This window comes from Homo sapiens, chromosome 22 (assembly GCF_000001405.40).
Source record: "Homo sapiens chromosome 22, GRCh38.p14 Primary Assembly".
Lineage (NCBI taxonomy): Eukaryota > Metazoa > Chordata > Mammalia > Primates > Hominidae > Homo > Homo sapiens.
The window spans coordinates 31,154,881-31,177,155 of record NC_000022.11 but is presented as its reverse complement, the minus strand read 5'-3'; the positions used below and the strand labels follow the sequence as shown (position 1 = coordinate 31,177,155).

General features: G+C 44.2%; 1 protein-coding gene, 1 non-coding gene and 1 pseudogene across 7 annotated transcripts in view, besides 1 other annotated feature; 2 read left to right on the top strand and 1 right to left on the bottom strand.

Moving 5' to 3' along the window:
* The window catches only part of RNF185 (ring finger protein 185), a 46,838-nt gene extending 29,864 nt beyond the window's left edge, over positions 1-16,974 (bottom strand). For all 6 annotated transcript variants that reach the window (NR_024209.2, NR_024210.2, NR_024211.2 and 3 more), the window contains exon 1: positions 16,853-16,974. The gene's annotated coding sequence lies outside the window, so the exon portion shown is untranslated. The remainder of the gene's footprint in view (positions 1-16,852) is intronic.
* A 62-nt stretch (positions 16,975-17,036) lies between these two features.
* Positions 17,037-17,094, top strand: MIR3928 (microRNA 3928). The gene has a single exon (NR_037496.1). It is a non-coding gene; the product is annotated as a microRNA 3928 (primary transcript).
* Positions 17,095-20,342: 3,248 nt separating this feature from the next.
* Positions 20,343-21,223, top strand: SNRPNP2 (SNRPN pseudogene 2; annotated as a pseudogene).
* Positions 20,919-21,213: a silencer, noted in NCBI's record as "tiled region #9733; K562 Repressive non-DNase unmatched - State 24:Quies". NCBI's record gives its function as "represses a minimal TATA promoter and a strong SV40 promoter by Sharpr-MPRA in K562 cells {active_cell/tissue: K562}" and the evidence as "EXISTENCE:reporter gene assay evidence [ECO:0000049][PMID:27701403]".

The window sequence follows — 22,275 nt, the reverse complement described above, 5'->3', positions numbered from 1 at the left end:
CTGAAGACAGGGAATGCTGGGGAGGATGTAGACACAGTACAAGGAACAAGTGCATAATTCATGGTAAGGCAGCAAGGGCTGGGACTAAGGGAAGAAGAAAAGCCTTTGACTCTCAGTGCCCTTCAGCCCTGGCCTGCCTGGCTCACATACCCTATAGGGTACCTAACCCAGATCTGCCTAACCTTCCAAAGGGCTCCATGATTTTAACGTCTCTTTTTCTCCCCAACTAGCTCCCATTACCTGGTTAAATAAACTGGTACGTCCACATAATAGATTACACAGCCACTAAAAATAATGCTTCCACAGAGATTTTGCTTACGTAGGAATTTCAATTACATGACATAATGTTAAGTGAAAAAAACAGGATGGGCTGGACACGGTGGCTCACGCCTGCAATCTCAGCAGTTTGGGAGGCTGAGGCAGGCGGATCACGAGGTCAGGAGATCGAGACCATCCTGGCTAACACGGTGAAACCCCGTCTCTACTAAAAATACAAAAAATTAGCCGGGCATGGTGGCGGGCACCTGTAGTCCCAGCAACTCGGGAGGCTGAGGCAGGAGAATGGTGTGAACCTGGGAGGCGGAGCTTACAGTGAGCTGAGATCGCACCACTACACTCCAGCCTGGGTGACAGAGCAAGACTCTGTCTAAAAAAAAAAAAAAAAGAAAAAGAAAAAAGCAGGATGTAAAATTGTATACAAAGTTGAATATATATGTGGCCAGGTGCGGTGGGTCATACCTGCATTCCTAGCACTTTGGGAGGCTGAGGCAGGAAGATTGCTTGAGCCCAGGATTTGGAGCAGCTGGGAGTCTGACACAGGAGAATTGCTTGAACCTGGGAGGGAGAGGCTGCAGCGAGCCCACTGCACTCCAGCCTGGGCGACAGAGCGAGATTCTGTCTCAAAAAAAAAAAAAATTGAATTTATTTGTTATCAGCAGGTTAAAAAGATACCAAAAAAAGAGGTCAAAAATATTAACTGTAGTAGTCTCCGGACAGTGGACTTATGGACAAATTTCTTAAGCTTTAAAAAATACTTACATGTACTTGCCACCTTTTCCATAGTGAGTACTCTGTTAATACTCAGGAGAAAATAGGCCAAGCATGGTGGCTCACATCTGTAATCCTAGCACTTTGGGAGGCCAAGATGGGAGGATTGGTTGAGGCCAGGAGTTCGAGACCAGCCTGGTCAACACAGAGAGCTCCCATCTCAAATTACAAAATAAAAGATGTGAAAGGTCCAATACCTTCAGATCTCAGTAGAGAACAAAAAGGAAACCAATCTGAATTAAGTACATTCACAACTGAGGTGTGAATGGTCCTTAGAATAATAATCATCTCAGAAATTTTAACAATTTTAATTTTATGAATTTATTTTTTTAATAAGTAACACGTTTACATGGCTCAAAATTCAATAGGTACAACAAAAGGATATAGGCTGAAAAGTCTCTCCCTATCCCTGGAACCCAACAGCCCTGTTTTCTACCTTCAAGACTGCTTGACTATATTATTAGTATAAACCCTAGAAGTAGAACTGCAGGGTCAAAGTATTTATATTTGTAACTTTGAGACAGTGCTGAATACCCCCAGGGAAGATGTGCCAATTTATATTCCTATGAGAAATACATAAGACATTTGTTTCCCTAAGTCCTTGACAATGACATGTATGTTTTCCAAAAGATGATATATGGCTTTTTTTTTTTTTTGAGACAGTTTCACTCTTGTTGCCCAGGATGGAGTGCAATGGCGTGATCTCGGCTCACTGCAACCTCCACCTACCGGGTTCAAGCAATTCTCCTGCATCAGCCTCCTGAGTAGCTGGGATTACAGCTGTGCGCCACCACATCCAGCTAGTTTTTTGTTTGTTTGTTTGTAGAGATGGGGTTTCGCCATGCTGCCCAGGCTGGTCTTGAACTCCTGGGCTCAAGCAATCCACCTGCCTCAGCCTTGGCCTCCCAAATTGCTGAGATTACAGGCAATCAGCCACCAAGCCCAGAGATAACACATATCTGAGTGGGGATTCTAGAGCCAGCTGTTCCTACTTTTTCACATTTTCGTCCACTACTTTTTTTTTTTTTTTTTAATTTGAGACGGAGGCTCGCTCTGTCGCCCAACTGAAGTGCAACGGCGCGATCTCGGCTCACCGCAACCTCTGCCTCCTGGGTTCAAGCGATCCTCCCATCTCAGCCTCCCAAGTAGCTAGGATTACAGGCACCCGCCACCACACCCAACTAATTTTTTTGGTATTTTTCGTAGAGGCCGAGTTTCAGCATGTTGGTCAAGCTGGTCTCGAACTCCTGACCTCAGGTGATCCGCCCACCTCGGCCTCCCAAAGTGCTGGGATTACAGGCATGAGCCACCACACCCAGCCTCTTCCATTATTTTTAAATACAAAGAATGTTTTGTTCATTTGTTGGGTTTTAAGCTTCAATTATTTTTGAAAAATTACCATGTTTCATTTTTAAAAAAGGACAAAATGGAGGACAAGAATGGTGGCTCACTCCTGTAATCTTAGCACTTTGGGAGGCCGAGGCAGGAGGATCAGTTAAGGCCAAGAGTTCAAAACTAGCCTGAACAATATAGTGAGACTCCATCACCAAAAAAATTTAAAATTAGCCAGGTATGGTGGCGTGTGCCTGTAGTTCTAGCTCCTTGGGAGGCTGAGGCAGGATGCTCACTTGAGCCCAGGAGCTCAAGGCTGCAGTGAGCGATGATGACGCCACTGCACTCCAACCTAGGAGACAGAAGGAGACTCTGTTTCTTAAATTAAAAAAAAAAATTTTTTTTAAAGAGTGAAATGGGATTTGTACTACCACTGGCACAAACTTTTAAGTGTCATCTAAGAAGTTGCCTTTTGTCATAAAATGTTCCTTAACTTTTTTCCTTAAAAACTAGCACGGCACAGAGGAATGTGATGGCTGAGTTCAAATCTCAGCTCTGCAACTTATTCTGTGATTTCAGACAAGTTATTTTCTTTCTGAGCCTTTGTTTTTCTCATTTGCTAAAATGAGGCTAATATCTTCCTCACAAGACAGTTCTAAGAAATAGAGATAAAACAGTACGGGACTAGCATAGTGCCTGGCACATAGTTAAGTACTCATGAAATGTTAATCCCCCTCCCTTTTAAGGTCTCTGAGTTCACTGAAGGTAAACTGTTTTTGTATATTCCTCATAGACATATGCAACCAGCAGGTACTTGGTTAATTTGCTGAGTAAATGAGTCACAACTTTCCTTTCTCAATGAGCATCATTCCTTGAATGCAGAGTAGATGAGACATCAGAACTGTGTATGTTTATGAACTGAGAGGAAATCTAAAATTAGATACAATTTGACCCAGAGAAAATCAGATTTTCCCCAAGTGTTAAAATTAGGGGACACTTGTTATATTTCTTATCACTATAAGTAACATAGCTAACACTGCTCAGCCCTCTACATGAATTATCTCATTTAATCTTTATGGCCTGCCTTTAGGTAAACACTACTGTATCATCATTAGCATCCCTTGGGATGTTAAATAAAGGCTCAGAGTAGTTAGGTCACTTGCCCATGGTCACAGACCTAGTCAGAGGCAAAGCTTCCCAACCCAAGCCAACGTCCTTAACAAATGGTAACTCAGTGATCTGTTCTTGTGCGTCTTGTCAAGCGCAGACCCAGCTTCCAGGTTCCTTACTCAGCACAGGGCTAGGTGCCTCAGGAGCACCTGATATATACATACGTGTGTGTGTGTGTGTGTGTGTGTGTCTGTGTGTGTGTGAATGAGTTGACAGATCTGATGCCCAGGAGCAATTAGAACTGTACAACTCAATATAGCCAACTAGAGTTGTGGAAAATCAGTATCCTATAACAGCAAAACATGCTGTTCAGAACTGGAAATGTTACATAACTTAGAGTCAATTTTTTTTTTTTTAAGTATTACCCAAAACTCTTACACAAATGAAAAAAAAATTGAGGGATCTGCAACCAGAAGTAGTTTCAAGTTTTCTCAAATTTCTCCCTATTAAAGATAACATACTCACACAGAGGTTTGGTTATCCACTGAACTATTACCCACTCCAGTGAGATACCTCCTAGGGCCAACAGCACAGTTCCTGACAGGAAGTAGATGTTTGATTAAGGTATGTGAATGAATGAAGGGGATTTAATTTCAATCAAACCAATACAGCTGAGGAAAATAGTGTTTTAAAGAAAAGCTCTTCAGACTGGACAGATACCAGTCAAGGGCTGTGAATTTCTAGTATAACACCATGAAAGAAATAATCTGGAGCCAGAGGACTTAGCCTAAGGCTCAGGTCTGTCACTCACTATGCCAGTGTCCTTACCTGCAAATGGGGAATAATTGTTCCAGCCATCCCTTTGTCATGAGAAAAGTTTAAAAAATAAGGGTTTTGCTTTTTTTTTTTTTTTTTTTTGAGACGGGGTCTCACTCTGTTGCTCAGGCTGGAGTGTAGTGGCAAGATCTTGGCTCACTGCAACCTCTGCTTCCTGGGTTCAAGTGATTCTCCTGCCTCAGCCTCCTGAGTAGCGGGGACCACAGGTGTGCACCATCATGACTGGCCAATTTTTGTATTTTTAGTAGAGATGGAGTTTCACCTTGTTGGCCAGGCTGGTCTTGAACTCCTGACCTCAGGTGATGCGCCTGCCTCGGCCTCCCAAAGTGCTGGGATTACAGGCATGAGCCACCGCGCCCAGCCTTGTTGTTATTTTAAATAAGTATGAAACAGTGCCTAGCCCCTATTAGACAAAGAAATTAATGAGGAAGCAGTAAGATTAATATTCTGAATTCATGATTGCAGGTGTGCACCACAATGCCTGCCTAATTTATTTGTATTTTCAGTAGAGACAGGGTTTCGCCATGTTGGTCAGGCTGGTCTCGAACTCCTGACCTCAAGTGATCTGCCCGCCTCAGCCTCCCAAAATGCTGGGATTACAGGCATTAGCCACCACACCTGGCCAGGTTTCACTTTTATTTTCACACAGTCAGTGAAATCTCATTAATTCATATTCTATAAAATGTCATTAATTCATATTTTACCTGAGGTTGAGCTAAAGACCTCTAAGATATTCTGAAGGTAGAGTATAAAAACAATAAGTTTGACAAGATCTAACCAATTAAGTAGAAAACTTTTTAAATTTTAATACCCGGTATATACTTGACAAAACAATGATCTCACTTCTCCTTTCTTTTTTTTGAGATGGAGTTTCGTTCTTGTTGCCCAGGCTGGAGTGCAATGGCGCAATCTTGGCTCACCGCAACCTCCGCCTCCTAGGTTCAAGCGATTCTCCTGCCTCAGCCTCCTGAGTAGCTGGGATTACAGGCATGCACCACCACACCTGGCTAATTTTGTATTTTTAGTAGAGATGGTGTTTCTCCATGTTGGTCAGGCTGGTCTCAAACTCCCGACCTCAGGTGATCCGCTTGCCTCGGCCTCCCAAAGTGCTGGGATTACAGGCACAAGCCACCATGCCCAGCCTCTCACTTCTTTCAACAGAAGGTCCTGACTAGGACCAACTGTGATTAAAGATAAAACCAAAATGATACCATTTTGAAAAGTCTATAATATTGACTTTTACAAATTGCTCTTGTGCCTTGAGCCACCTCCATTGTATTTGTTACCAGTGCTGTTTGGCAAACACTTAGAGAATGCCAACTACCAGACCCATGATAAAAATAAATCAGGGCTGGGTGCAGTAGCTCACGCCTGTAATCCCAGCACTTTGGGAGGCCAAGGCGGGTGGATCGCCTGAGGTCAGGAGTTCAAGACCAGCCTGGCCAACATAGTGAAACCCTGTCTCTACTAAAAACACCAAAAAAAAAAAAAAATTAGCTGGTCATAGTGGTGGGCGCCTGTAATCCCAGCTACTAGGGAGGCTGAGGCGGGAGAATCACTTGACCCAAGGAGGCGGAGGTTGCAGTGAGCCAAGATGGCGCCATTGCACTCCAGCCTGGGCAACAAAACTCTGTCTCAAAAATAAATAAATAAATAAATAAATAAATAAATAAGTAAATCAGAGAAGGTCCTGGTTCCTGTGCTCAAGGAGTTTATAACCAAGTCAGAATGTAACTATTAAAAAACAAAAAGCTTCTCACACTAAGAAGTGCCTTGGCAGAGATGATAGTGTTAAGAAAAAACAACAAACTTCCTTAGGCTTTGCCCAGGATCCACTCCTGTATTCAGAGACCTGTCCATCTTTAAAAACCCCCACATGCCAGGCACAGTGGAACATGCCAGCTACTCAGGAGGCTGAGGCAGGAGGATTGCTTGAGGACAAGAGTTTGAGACCAGCCTGGGCAGCATACAAAGACCTTGTCTCAAAAATAAATAAATAAATATTAAAAAATAAAAACCTGGCCAGGCGTGGTGGCTCACACCTGTAATCCCAGCACTTTGGGAGTACAAGGTGGGTGGATCATCTGAGGTCAGGAGTTCGAGACCACCTTAGCCAACATGGTGAAACCCTATCTCTACTAAAAAATACAAATTAGCTGGGTGTGGTGGCACATGTCTGTAATCCCAGTTACTTGGAAGGCTGAGACATGGGAATCGCTTGAACCCTGGAGGTGGAGGTTGCAGTGAGCTGAGATCATACTACCGCACTCCACCCTGGGTGACAGAGTGAGACTCTGTCTCAATAAATAAATAAAATAAATAAAAAATAAAAACCACATCTGGCCAGAGGTGGTGGCTCATGCCTGTAATCCCAGCACTTTGGGAGGCCAAGGCGGGTGGATCACAAGGTAAGGAGATCGAGACCATCTGGCTAACATGGTGAAACCTCGTCTCTACTAAAAATACGAAAAAAATTAGCCAGGCCTGGTGGCAGGCAAATGTAGTCCCAGCTACTCGGGGGGCTGAGGCAGGAGAATGGCATGAACCCGGGAGGCGGAGCTTGCAGTGAGCAGAGATTGCACCACTGCACTCCAGCCTGGGCGACTGAACAAGACTCTGTCTCAAACAAACAAACAAAAAAAAAAAACAAAAAACCACATCACTGTTACATCACAAGGCACTTCTGAGGAGCAATTAAGAGAGCGAGTATCAGAGTCAGGTGCTATAGAAACTATCACAGGAATTAACCTGGCAACTGGACCCAGGACAGAATGGCCAGTGAGTCCCCTAGGCCATTTCCACAGAAGCAGACACAATCTGGCTCAATGAACATAGAAGTGCTGCTTCTAATCTTTGCATGTCCTTAGGCCAGCTGGAAGACAAGGATCCAACACTCGGGAGCTTTGTTCCCAACGACCAATGAAATGAAGAGATGGACTCCTGTCATCTACAGCAGATGCAGAGTAGAGAAGTACGGTTTGAAGGCTGGGTGTGGTGGCTCAGCCAGTAATCCCAGCACTTTGGAAGGTGGAGGCAGGCAGATCACTTGAGCCCAGAAGTTTGAGACCAGCCTGGGTAACATGGCAAAACCCCATCTCTACAAAAAAATACAAAAATTAGCCAAGAGCAGTGGCGCATGCCTGTGGTCCCAACTACTCAAGAGGCAAAGGTGGGAGGACTGCTTGAGTCCGGGAGGCAGAGGTTGCAGTGAGCTGAGATCACGCCACTGCACTCCAGCCTCGGCGACAGAGAGACCCTGTCTTTAAAAAACTAAAAATTAAAAAAAGAGAAGTAGGGTATGATAACCAGGCAGCAATTAGGGCCGCCTCTGAGAATTTTAAACCAGGAGCCACTTGGTCATGACTTTAAAAACTATATTTCTGGCAATGATTTCTTGGAATGACACCAAAAGTACAGGTAACAAAAGAAAAAGTAGACAAATTGGATTTCATAAAAATTTAAAAATTTTGTGCATAAAAAGACACTACCAATAGAGTAAAATGGCAATTCACAGAATGGGAGAAAATATTTGCAAATCATATATCTGAAAAGGAATTAATATCCTGAATACATAGATAACTCCTAAAACTTAACAACAAACAACCTGATTCAAAAGTGGGGCCAGGTATGGTGGCTCAGGCCTGTAATTCCAGCACTTTGGGAGGCTTAGGCAGGCAGATCACTTGAGGTCAGAAGTTTGAGACCAACTTGGGCAACATGGTGAAACCTTGTCTCTACTAAAAATACAAAACAAATTAGCCAGGTGTGGTGGCACACGCCTGTACTTCCAGCTACGTGCGAGGCTGAGGCAAGATAATTGCTTGAACCCAGGAGGTGGAGGTTGCAGAGCCCAGATTCCACCACTGCACTCCAGCCTGGGCAAGAGAGAGAGAGACTCTGTCTCAAAAAAAATTTTTAAAGGGTGGTGGTGGGGCGGGGGGGCAAAGGACTTGAATAGAGACATTTCTTCAAAGAAGAAATACAAATGTCCCAAAAGTACACAGAAGGGTGCTCAACATCACTAATCATCAGGGAAATGCAAATCAAAAGCACAATGAGATACCATCAGAATGACTACTATTTTTATAACACCAGAAAATAACAAGTTTTGGCAAGGATGTAGAGAAATAGAACCCCTGTGCTCTGTTGGTGGGAATGTAAAATGGTACAGCTGCTGTGGAAAACAGCACAGAGGCTCCTCAAAAAAATTAAAAACTGAACTACCATATGATCCAGCAATTCTACCTCTAGGTATGTACCCAAATAATTGAAAGCAAGGTCGCAAAGAAATAGCTATACATCAATGTTCACAGTAGCAGTATTCACAATAGCTGAAACATGGAAGCAATCCAAGTTTGCATCGACAGATGAATGGATAAGCAAAATACATACAACGGAAAATCATTTTATCTTAAAAAGGAAGAAAAATTCTCACATATGCTACAACATAAATGAACCTCAAGAACATCATGTTAGGTGAAGTAAGTCAGTCAAAGGAAGACAAATACTAAGCTGGGTGCAGTGGTGCCCACACATAACCCCAGCTACTTGGGAGGCTGAGGCAGAAAGTTCACTTAAACCCAAGAGTCTGACACCAGCCACACGGTTAGGCCTCATCTTCAAAAATAAAAAGGACAAATACTGTATGATTCTACTTATATGACGTACTTAGAGTAAACAAAATCATAGAGACAGAAAGTGGAATAGTGGTTGGCAGTGGCTAGGGGGAAGAAGAAATAGGGAGTTATTGTTTAATAGACACAGAGTTTCACTTTTGCAAGATGAAAACAGTTCTGGAGGTAGATGGTGGTGATGTTTCTAGAACATGAATGTACTTAATACCACTGAGCTGTACATTTAAAAAAATGGTTACGATGGTAAATTTTATATGAATTTCACTACAATTTAAAAAACTGGGCCCAGGTACGGTGGCTCATGCCTATAATCCCAGCACTCTGGGAAGCCAAGGCAGGCGGATCACTTGAGGTCAGGCGTTCGAGACCAGCCTGGGCAAATGGCAAAACCCCATCTCTACTAAAAATACAAAAATGAGCCAGGTGTGGTGGTGAGCGCCTGTAATTCCAGCTATTTGGGAGGCTGAAGCACAATAATTGCTTGAACCCAGGATGCGGAGGTTGAAGTGAGCTGAGATGACACCACTGCACTCAGCCTGGGTGACAACGGAGTGAGACTGTCTCAAAAAAAAAAAAAAAAAAAAAGGAAAAAACCCCCCTACGTTTCCATAAAAGGTCATACATTGTGTGATTTTCTTATTAGAATCTTATTAGAAATATCCAGAATAGGCAAATTCATACAGATAGAAAGTGGATCAGAGGTTACCAGGAGCTGGGGGGAGGAGAGAATGAGGAGTTATTGCTTCATGGGTAGAGTTTCTGTTTGGTATGCTGAAAAAGTTTTAGAAATAGTGGTGATGGTTATACAACATTGTGAATTTACTTAATGCCACTGAATTGTACATTTAAAAATAATTAAAATGGGCCAGGCACAATGGCTCACTGCTGTAATTCCAGCACTTTAGGGGGCTGAGGCAAGAGGATTGCTTGAGCCTCAGAGGTTGAGGCTGCAGTGAGTTGCCACTACACTTCAGCCTAGGCCACAGAGTGAGACCCTATCTCAAAAAAAATTTAAATAGATAAAATTAGTTAAAACAGTAAATATTGTTATGTACATCTTACCACAATAAAAAAAATTTTAAGAAAATCTATGCTCCTTATTTAAAAATCAAAACTACATTTCTATCCCACTAAGAACACACCAAGTACTTATTATACACATTACGTCTACATAGTAAGACTTATTAAATAAATGAACAGTTAAGGAAATGGAAATCTATGTAGGCCATCAGAAGTAACGCTTATAGGCCAGGTGTGGTGGCTCACGCCTGTAATCCCAACACTTTGGGAGGCTGAGGTGGGTGGATCGTCTGAGGTCAGGAGTTCGAGACCAGCCTGGCCAGCATGGTGAAATCCCGTTTCTACCAAAAATACAAAAATTAGCTGGGCATGGTGGCAGGCACCTATAATCCCAGCTACTCGGGAGGCTGAGGCAGGAGAATCATTTGAACCCGGGAGGTGGAGGTTGCAGTGAGCCAAGATCGCACCATTGCACTCCAGCCTGGGCAACAGAGCCAGACTCTGTCTCGAGAAGAAGAAGAGGAAGAGGAAGAGGAAGAAGAAGAAGAAGAAGGAGGAGGAGGAGGAGGGGAAGGGAAGGGGAAGGGGAAGGGGAAGAAGAAGAAGAAGAAGAAGAAATGCTTATAGAAGAGGCTGGCAAAAACATGGAGACATTAAAATTAAAGTGTGTGTTTTCTTCAGTTTTAGATGTTAATAAGAAAAAGCAAGATATGGACCTGTGTACAGTGAGTGATTCCAACTATTAAAAATGTGCCCCGTAGCAGGAAACAAGAAGGAAATATAGCAACTGCAACAAAGGTTCTCTAGATACTAGAGCTAGGGATGACTAGGGTGGGGAGAGGGAGATTTTTCTGTATTTCCCAAAATGTCTAAAATGAGCACATCGGCAGGGCATGGTGGCTCATGCCTGTAATCCCAGCACTTTGGGAGGCTGAGGTGGGCGGATCACTTGAGGTCAGGAGTTCGAGACCAGCCTGGCCAAGATCATGAAACCCCATCTCTACTAAAAATACAAAAATTAGTCGGGCATGGTGGCACTTGCCTGTAATTCTAGCTACTCAGGAACTGAGGCACGAGAATTGCTTGAATCTGGGAGATGGAGGCTGCAGTGAGTCAACACTGTGCCACTGCACTCCAGCCTGGGCAACAGAGCAAGACTCCATCTCTAAAAAAAAATAATAATAAAATAAGCACATACTACTTTCACAATTTACATTACTGAAGCTTTTGTTTGTTTCAAGGTATGTGTCCAAGATGGTTTGGTTATGGCCAAATGCTGTAGGGTCAAGATAGGCCTAGGAGCACTGTAGTTATGTAGCTATGAGCAGCTAGTCCTGAGCATTCAAACCACCACTGACTCCTCTACTCCCTGCCTATAACCAGACATACAGCAGAGTGGCACCCAAAATGAAGGCTCCCTGACTAGTCTTATCATATCTTGGATGACAACCTCATTTCTGGACGCAAATAGTACCCTTCCTTTCACTTGCCCATGGCCACTCCAACTCCACATGGCCAGAAGTGGCTGGGTTTGAGTCAAGCTCTGCATGGTCAGTAGCCTCAAATGGAAATTTACTTTGTGCTTTAGTATGTCCAAATCCAACTACATTCAGATCAGGGACATACTGGCATTGCCTCAGAATTTGCAGGTCAAATCACTGAGTTATTTCAAGAGATCTGCAAACTCTTTGAATACCTACATTCAAAATTGTACACGATAACAAATAACTCAATTACAAAATGAGCAAAAGATCTAAACAGACATTTCTCCAAATAAGATATGCAGATGGCCAATAAGAACATCATCATCATCATCATCAGCCATTAAGGAAATGCAAATCAAAACCACAATGAGATATCACTTCACACCCACTAGGAGAGATATAATTTTTTTAGTGGGCAATAACAAGTGTTGTGGATGCGGAGAAACTGGAACCCTCATAAATTTTAGTGCAAATGGCCAGGCGCAGTGGCTCACACCTGTAATCCCAGCACTTTGGGAGGCTGAGGCAGACAGATCACCTGAGGCCGGGAGTTCCAGACCAGCTTGACCAACATAGAGCAACCCTGTCTCTACTAAAAAAAAAAAAATACAAAATTAGCCGGGCGTGGTGGTGCATGCCTGTAATCCTAGCTCCTCGGGAGGCTGAGGTAGGAGAATCGCTTGAACCTGGGAGGCAGATGTTGCGGTGAGCCAAGATTGCGCCACTGCACTCCAGCCTGGGCAATAAGAGTGAAATTCCATCTCAAAAACAAACAATTAAAAAAAAAATAAATTTTAGTGCAAATGCAGGCCGGGTGTGGTGGCACACCTGTAATCCCAGAACTTTGGGAGGCCGAGGCAGGTGGATCACCTGAGGTTGGGACTTCAAGACCAGCCTGCCCAACATGGTGAAACCCCACTCTACTAAAAATACAAAAAACAGCTGGGCATGGTGGCACACGCCTGTAATTGCAGCTATTCAGGAGGCTGAGGCAGGAGAATCGCTTGAACCCGGGAGGGGGGTTGCAGTTAGCTGAGATCATGCCACTGTATTCCAGCCTGGGTGACAGGGTGAGACTCCGTCTCAAAAAAAAAAAAAAAAAAAAAAAGACAATGAGGAACTGTCCCAGATATCTGATGAGACCAGGGAGACTTGACAACTAAATGTGATGTAGGATCCAGGATTGGGTCCTGGAACAGAAAAAGGACACAGTGGGACAAATAGCAAAATCTGAATAAAGTCTCTAGATTAGCTAGTAATATTGTATTAATGTTAAATTTCTTGTTTGGATAATTCTGATATAATTATGTACAGTTTTGACATTAGGTGAAGTTAGATGACAGATATACAGAAAGTTTGTGAATTATTTTTGCAAGTTTAGTATAAGAGTAAAATTATTTCAAAATAAAAAGGCCAGGCGCAGTGGCTCACGGCTGTAATCCCAGCACTTTGGGATGCCAAGGCGGGTGGATCACCTGAGGTCAGGAGTTCAGGACCAGCCTGGCCAACACGGTGAAACCCACCTCTACTAAAAATACAAAAATTGGCCAGGTGTGGTGGCACATGCCTGTAATCCCAGCTACTTGGGAGGCTGGGGCAGGAGAATCGCTTGAACCTGGGAGGCACAGGTTGCAGTGAGCTGAGACTGTCCCACCGCATTCCAGCCTGGGCAACAAGAGTGAAACTCCATCTAAAAAATAATAATAATAATAATAAGGGGCCAGGCACGGTGGCTCAAGCCTGTAATCCCAGCACTTTGGGAAGCTGAGGTGGGTGGATCACTTGAGGTCAGGAGATTGAGACCATCCTGGCCAACATGGTGAAACCCCGTCTCCACTAAAAATACAAAAATTAGCCAGGCAAGGTGGCGTGCACCTGTAGTCCCAGCTACTCAGAAGGCTGAGGCAGGAGAATTGCTTGAGCCCGGGAGGTGGAGGTTACAGTGAGCCGAGATTGCGCCACTGCACTCCAGCCTGGAGGACAGAGTGAGACTCCGTTTCAAATAAATAAATAAATAAATAAATAAATAAATAAAATAAAATAAAAAGTTAAAAAACAATACATGGCTGGGAGTGGTGGCTCATACCTGTAATCCTAGCACTTTGAGAGGCTGAGGCAGGAGAATCATTTGAGCTCGGAGATTTGAGACCAGCCTGGGCAACATAGTGAGACCTCATCTCTACAAGAAACCTAAAAGTTAGCTGGGTGTGGTGGTGTGTGCCCGTAGTCCCAACTACTCGGGTGGCTGAGGTGGGAAGATGGCTTCAGCCCAGGAGGTCAAGGCTGTAGTAGGCTATGTTCGTGCCACTGCACTCCAGCCTGGGCAACAGAGCGAGTCACTGTCTCAAAAAAAAAAAATGTACACGATGCAGGTCAGGAATTGGCAATTTTTTTTCCATAAAGGGCCATAGAGTAAATACTTCAGACTCTGTGGACCATATGGTTTTTATGGGAAGTAATCAACTCCACTGAGTAGCATTAAAGCACCCAAAGACAATATGTAAATATATATGAATATAAATAAATGGGTGTGACTGAAATGAACACTGAAATTTTATCTTCCTGTAATTGTCACCTATGTAATATTATTCTTCTTTTATTTCCCATCATTTAAAAATGTAAAAAGCAGGCCAGACGTGGTGGCTCACGCCTGTAATCCCAGCACCTTGGGAGGCTGAGGCGGGCAGATCACGAGGTCAGGAGATCAAGACCATCCTGGCTAACACAGTGAAACCCTACCTCTACTAAAAATACAAAAAATTAGCCAGTCATCGGGGTGGGCGCCTGTAGTCCCAGCTATTCGGGAGGCTGAGGCAGGAGAATGGCATGAACCCAGGAGGCGGAGCTTGCAGTGAGCTGAGATGGAGCCACTGCATTCCAGCCTGGGCAACAGAGCGAGACTCCGTCTTAAAAAAAAAAAAAAAAGAAAGAAAAATGTAAAAAGCACCCTTAGCTCACAGACCATATAAACAAGCAGTAGGTCCAGGTTTGGTTCACAGCCTATATATAGTATGCAGATCCCCACTCTAGGTCAGAATTTGCTAACGTGTGCTTCAATTAAAAAAAAAAAAAAGATTTGACATCAAGTAGATTAAACAAATGGAACAAGTTATTATCTTGGCTTATAAGGCACATTTCCTTATTGCAGGACCTCTCAGTGGTTTTAATGTGGTATTACACATTGAGAAGCTCCAAGAAAGAATAATGGTATGTGGCTTTCTCAAACTTATTATTAGCATCAAATCCTTTTTTCAGAGCCACTTCTTCAGACCAGTGGCCTGAAGAACATACTTATGAGAATGTCAATTCAGACACTTCTTTAAAAGGAAACTTTTAGATCGAGAAGTTCTAAAAACTCCAACAAATTAAGATCATTTTACCCAGTACCTGGATAACATCTGAATAAGCATTTCACAACTTTTTTATTTTTTAATCTTGGGAAACACAAGTCGATAACTGGCAGGAAGTTTTGGCTCAACCCTAACTTTTGTGGCGGCGGGGGAGCAAGTCAGCAGAACTGGGTCATAATATGGAGCCTCTGCTCCCTAAGACAACATAAACATTCCTAAGCATTCTAGCAGGTGTTGAAAAAGTGATTTAGGCAGAGCTTTGTAATGCACAAAATAAGGACATAATAATGTTTGATTAGAAAACCAAAGGTATGCTAGAGGCCAGGCACAGTGGCTTACACCTGAAATCCCAGCACTTTGGGAGGCTGAGGCAGGCGGATCACTTGAGGTCAGGAGTTCGAGACCAGCCTGGCCAACATGGTGAAACCCCATCTCTACTAAATACTCAAAAAAAAAAAAAAAAAAGCTGGAACTTGTCATGTGTGTGAACTGGCAAGTCAAGTCTATAAGAGGACTGTTTTTATATGATGCATGGAAAGCTAGCCAACAGACTGCAAAAATTCTCTCACATCTATACACATATTGCTGAAGAGAGGATTCAAGCAGGGATTATGTTCCAGGGAAGAGAAGGCTGGTCTGAACAACCTCAAGGGGTGCTTTCAACTGAGAGTCCTCAATTTTGTGATTCAGAGTTCACTGGCTTCTCCTGGTCAAACATAAAATCTTCAGAGGCATTTCCAACTTGTTCTTAGAAAAAAGCTACTAACCCATGGGGTGGGACCCAGTTTACTTATTCATTCAATAAACATTTAAGGTGCCTCTATCAGATATTGGGTCATTCCAAAGTCCTTGAAAAGAAGGATGGTGCACAGGACAACCAGGAAGAGATTATGTAAGGTCAGATGCATTGGCCTTATTTACAGGAGATGTAGGCTAAAGTGATGGAAGTGTCAAAAGAGAAGAAAAAAGTCACATTTGCCTTGAGAGCAGAGTCAGCACCAGAAAGATGCAGAACAACTCCTTGGAATCACAGACTTTCAAGTTGGAAAGGACCTTCATCTAATACCTATATACCTCCCTCGAAAGGAGGCACGGAGGCAATCCATTCACTCCATCGGTGGTCACCTCTGACGATTCTTCCATTTAAGTTCTTCTATTAAGCAAAAATCTTGCCTTCCTGTAGAATTCACCTGTTAGTCCTAGTTCTGCCTCTTTTAGCCTAAAGATGAAGTGGAAGCCCTCTTTGCCGTAACAGTATTTTCAATTTTTAAAAAGTTAATTCCCTTCCAGTGCTCTCTTTACTGAGCTAACCATTCCAGTTCTTTCAAAGTTCCTGAACTGGCACCAGCTGCCTCAAAGCGAAGAATGGATATCTAGTGCTCACAGCAGGAAAGCACTTAAAATCAATGAGCTTCAAACATTAGTATATACAGGACCCCCCTACGCATAAGTTCAGATTCTAAACCAGAAGTCTGAATTGAGTCCCGCGCTGTAAAGCCGGCATCTCAGAGAATTACAAAGCAGATGGTGTAAGAACCATATTTTGAAAAACACTGCCCCGTTTTAGAGACGAGAAAACTGAGGCCCAGCACAGGGAAGAGATTTGGCCCAGAACGCACAATTGTCTGTCGGTGGCGAAGTCTCGAATCCAGGTCTCTTACTTTCAGCCCAACTCTGTTCACCGCGCTCCCCGGCCTCTGCTTCTCCACTCAGGGCAAACTCGTGAAATGCACTCCCAGATGATAGAGGCGGTCTCGCACGGGGGATAGAATGGGAATCAGTGCCCATGCCTCGAAAGGAGAGCTTGTGGGAGCCCTTCTCTTTCGCAAGGCCTCAGTTTCCCCAATCTGTATTCATGGGACGCAGAACCACAACGCCAGCTCGTCCTCTTTTCGGGGACAGACACGACCGGTCTTGCTGTCTCTGGGCCCCTGGGCTCAGATGTTCAAGCCCGTGTGTCCTGGGAAGGCGGACCCGGGTCTCCCGCCCCCGTCCCTAAACTTTGGCGCCCCCGCCCCAACCCCAGCCCCTCACATACCTGCCTCCGCACAGTTAACGCCAGCCCAGTCAATCAGTTTTTCGGGTACACGGCCAATACTAACGCCGCGTCAATCTGTTGGGTAAGACCTCCGACCCCTCCTACGCGGACTCCAGTCACATGACGCGGAGCCGCCCCTCTCGGAGGGACTTCCGGCCCCAACCGGAAGAGGTTAATTTCCATGGCTGAAGCTCTAAGGTTCCGCCTGCGGGCAGGAAGCGGAGGAACCTTGGAGCTTCGGCAGCTTTTCAAAGAGCTTTGGGTTCGGGGCTCCTAAAAGAAAAAAACTGATTCCGGCCGGGCGCGGTGGCTCCCACCTGTAATTCCAGCAGTTTGGGAGGCCGCGGCGGATGGATCACTTGAGGTCAGGAGTTCGAGACCAGCCTGGCCAAAATGGTGAAACCCCTCTGTACTCAAAATACAAAAAGTAGCCGGTCGTGGTGGCGCACACCTGTAATCCCAGCTACTCGGGAGGCTGAGGCAGGATAATCGCTTGAACCCGGGAGGCGGAGGTTGCAGTGAGCTGAGATCGCACCACTGCACTCTAGCCTGGGCGTCAGAGTGAGACTCCGTCAAAAAAAAAAAAAAAAAAGAGAGAGAGAAAGAACTAACTCATTCCGGAAAGTACCAGATAAACTTGGAACATCTTGTTACACCAGAATATAAGGATGATGGTAATAAGAATCATGGGAATGTGTCAAAGAACACAGGAGCTGTCTTTAAGGAGATCTTACTGGCCAAGTCAGGGCAATTTCAGAATCAAAATATGGAGTGATAGTAATAGAGTATAACTAATTGAATAAAATAGTAATCCATGAGTCTTTACAAACATAAAGAAGTGAGCATATTAATGGGTGAAGGGAAAGTCTTCCTTTTAGTAGAATGCTAGCTAATAAACATGGTGGAATTAGGAAATCAATAATGTGTGGTAAAACTAGAGAAACGGGATGTTTACAACAGCAAAAGTGTCTCCCATAAATTAGCTATTGATTACAAAGGGAAAATGGTGATGTTACAGAGGTTTAACCTAGCAGAACAAACAGATCAAAGTGATCAAAGTTAACACCACTAGTTAATGGGTCAGATCAAGGGCCTCCTAATAAAATGCACTGAGAACACATCTGTGGTATTTCTGTCAAAAGTGCACCGTACACATCTCATGAGGAAGTGCTAGAGAACCCCAAATGAAGGACACTGTCTACAAAATAACTCATTGTCATGAAAAACAGAGAAAAGCTGAGGAACTGTTCCAGTTTAAAGGAGACTAAAGAAGCATGACAACAAAATGTGGTGTGTGATTCTAAATAGGACCCTGGACTGGGGTAGTGGTGGTGGTGGAATAGTTGTAATGGACAATATTGGGACAAGTAATGAAATTTGAATATGGATTGTGGATTAGCTGTTAATACATATTGTATCAAATCACATACTGATAGGTGATGGAGCTTGTGATTTGCACTCAAGCAGTCATTGGAGTTCTTGACAGCCATCTTCATTCATTCAACAAGCATTTATTAAGTACCTACAGTTATCCCAGGAACGGTTAGGGATCGGACCTGAGTAGGAGGTGAACATAGTAGATAAAGGCCGGCGCGGTGGCTCACGCCTATAATACCAGCACTTTGGGAGGTCGAGGCAGGCAGATCACCTGAGGTTAGGAGTTCGAGACCAGCCTGGCCAACATGGTGAAACTCATCTCTACTAAAAATACAAAAATTAGCCAGGCGTGGTGGCGGGCACCTGTAATCCCGGCTACTTGGGAGGCTGAGGCTGGAGAATTGCCTGAACCCAGGAGACAGAGGTTATAGTGAGCCAAGATCGTGCCATTGCACTCCAGCCTGGGCGACAAGAGTGAAACTCCATCTCAGAAAAAAAAATAAAAAATAGTAGATGAAATAAGCTCATAGATGAAAGTCCTAGTCTGCCAGCCACCTTTGCAAGTTCCTGTGATCAAGAAGTAATACAAGGGATGTTTCCAGTCACACAAACCTGGATTTGAAACCAAGCGCTAAGAGAAAAACAGCCCCTGACATCCAGGAGATGGTCTGGCACTCACAAATAGACCTTGGTGTGTTCTCTTATTGAACATAAAAACTTCACAGAACATCAACATCAAACAAAGCCACTATGTGACCATGATGGATCAAGACAATAACAAAACCACTTGAATCATGTCTAAACCCAGACAAAACATGAGCATTGTTCGAACTACAAAAATGGCCAAACATTTCCCTATTCTGGCTTGTATAGAGATTATAGATTTAGCCTCGGTCTACTCTTCCCTCCTTCTAAATAATGTTTATCAAGGTACTCACTCATAGGCAGCATCCAATCCAGAAAACCCCATTTTCTTAAGCCCTCGTCCAAATCACCTAATGCAAGCCCAAATCCTATGTGTCCTTTGTAACACTTTGTTACTGAGATGCCCCTTTGTTTGTTTGTTTGTTTGTTTGTTTGTTTTTGAGACAGAGTATCACTCTATCACTCAGGCTGGAGTGCAGTGGTGTGATCTCGGCTCACTGCAGCCTCTGCCTCCTGGGTTCAAGTGATTCTTCTGCCTCAGCCTCCCAAGTAGCTGGGATTACAGGCGCCCACCATCACTCCCGGCTAATTTTTGTATTTTTAGTAGGGACAGGGTTTCACCATGTTGGCCAGGCTGGTCTCGAACTCCTGACCTAAGGTGTTCCTCCCACCTTGGGCTTCTACAGTGCTGGGATTACAGATGTGAACCACCAAGCCCAGCTGCCCTATTGTTTCTCATGATTCATGTCCTCTCACCCTTACCCCATAACAAGTGATAAACTCAACTTGTTTAACCACAGGTGTGTTCCAATTTCTTCCTTCCTCAAAAAGTTGTTATGAGGATACTCGGAACAGGTTCATCACAGAGTGAGCTTTCTCTATCAATCGATCCATTATCTATTTTTTATTTTTTTAAAAAAACATGGTCTCAGCCTGTGGTCCAGACTGGAGTGCAGTGGCACACCATCCTAACTCACTGCAGGCTTCAACTCCTGGGCTCAAGTGATCCTCCCACCTCAGTCTCCTGAATAACTGTGACTACAGGCACGCACCACACCCAGCTAATATTTTTTATTTTTCTGTAGAGACAGGGTCCTGCTGTTGCCCAAGCTGGTCTCAAACTCCTGGCCTCAAGGGATCCTCCCAGTTTGGTCTCCCAAAGTGTTGGGATTACAGGCATGAGCCACCTCACCCAATGCTTTCAATATACTTTTAAAAATTATACATATATTTTTGAGACAGCACCTCACTCTGTCACTCAGATTGGAGTACAGTGATGCCATCTTGACTCACCTCAACCTCCGCCTCCCTAGCTCAAGCGATTCTCCTGTCTCAGCCTCCTGAGTATCTGGGATTACAGGTGCATGCCACTACCACCCAGCTAATTTTTGTATTTTTAGTAGAGATGGGATTTCACCATGTTGGCCAGGCTGCTCTCGAACTCCTGACTTCAGGTGATTTGCCCTCCTCAGCCTCCCAAAGTGTTGGGATTACAGGCGTGAGCCACCACGTTTCCCCCTCAGCTTGCATTGTTTCTGGGAGAACCTGCACCATACCTTTATCTATAGCTTTCCCCCAGGTCTTAAGAAGCACGAAGTTTTAACTGTGGACACGGGATTTGGTGAAGCAGCAATCACGACTGTGGGCACGAGTAGCAAGGCTGCAGCAGCACATTGACTATAGAATGAAATGCATCCTACAGGAAGGCACAATCTTCTTTGGCATCTTTAAGGCGTTTGACAAGCATGTGAATTTGATCCTCTGCGATTGTGATGAGTTCAGAAAGATCAAGCCAAAGAACGTGAAGCAACCAGAGCTCGAAGAAAAGCACTTTTGGGGTCTGGTGTTGCTGCATGGGGAGAACTTGGTATCCATGACTGTGGAGGGGCTACCCCCAAAATATACTGGCATTGCTCGGGTACCACTTGCTGGAGCTGCAGGAGGCCCTGGAGTTGTTAGGGCAGCTGGTAGAGGAGTATCAGCTGGTGTACCAATTCCCCAGGCTCCTGGTGGATTAGCAGGCCCCGTCCCAGGAGTTGGGGGACCATCCCAGCAGGTAATGACTCCACAGAGAAGAGCATTACTGGAGCCCCAACACAGTACCCACCAGGACCGGGGGCTCCACCCCCACCTGTTGGCAGAGCAGCCCCACCTCTAGGCATTATGTTTCCTCCACCTGGTATGAAACCACCCATGGGCCCACCAATTGGGCTTCCCCTTGCTAGAGGGACGCCAGTAGGCATGCCCCCTCCAGGAATGAGACCCTTTCCACCAGGAATGCATCCACCAAGACCCTGGGATATTGCTGATCCATCTCAGTCACTTTTCCCCCTGCAATGCATCTTGTGAAATTGTATAGTGTTTGTGAGCTTTTTGTCCCTTCTTTCTGCGTTAATCATAGCTAATAATAAATGCCTAAAGCAATTAAACTGTGGGAAAAAAGATATTGAAGCCATCAGCTTTCATTAAGATAAACTCCCTGATTATATTCCTCTTTGCTCTTTTTGTTGGGTTCATAAGGTGGAAAAAATGGAGAGAGTTCAACTTTTCCTTAGTCGGAAATGAGGTCATTCTCATGGTATTTTCTGGAAAGCAATAACCACGTTCCTGAAACTTTAACATTAGGGAACCAGCACTGTTTATTTCTTCATGTTCTTGTTATTAAAAACGTTCCCAAGAAGTAGCAGAATTGGAACTACCAAACTTGGAAGCACTTCAGCTTCAAAAATATATCAAGTAATATCTTCTCTGCTTTAGCACACTAAGGCACTTATAATCCCTGGAAGCCCTGTTGGTGATGTTGGCATTTATCCTGCTGGAACCCAGCATAGATTTAATATTATTTGATGCCTACAACATTGTGCTGAATAAAAAATATTCATTCCGGTGGGAAATAATTTTAAAAATATAAATTTTCTGATTTCTTCCTCTGCTTGCTCCCAAGTCCCCCTGCCCCCTCCCCTTCTTTGCCCTTACTCCTTTAATAATAATAATAGCAGTAGCTAACATTTATTGAATGTTTATAAAGTGCTGCATACTGTGCTAAGGGCTTTATGCAATTTAACCCTCACCCCAGGATTGTGAAGGAAGTCTTACTACAGATGAGAGGCTAGAGGACCAGAGAAGTTAAGCAACATGCCCAAGACTACACAGCTGGTAAGAATCAGGCCCAAAATTGGAATCCGCCCTCAAAACCTGCTCCTGTTGAAATGTTGCTTCACCACCCTGGCACAGAGAGTAGGGTCTGTGAAGGGATGGAAGGAGTGATAGACTGGCAAGGAAGGAAGGGCTTGGGGTAGTGGGTGGGGTGGGTGGGAGTGGAAGACCATGCAGAGGCATTTAGACCCTCTCCAGAGGGCAGAGGGAAGGGATGGAGATTAGGAACACAACACAAATAGGAG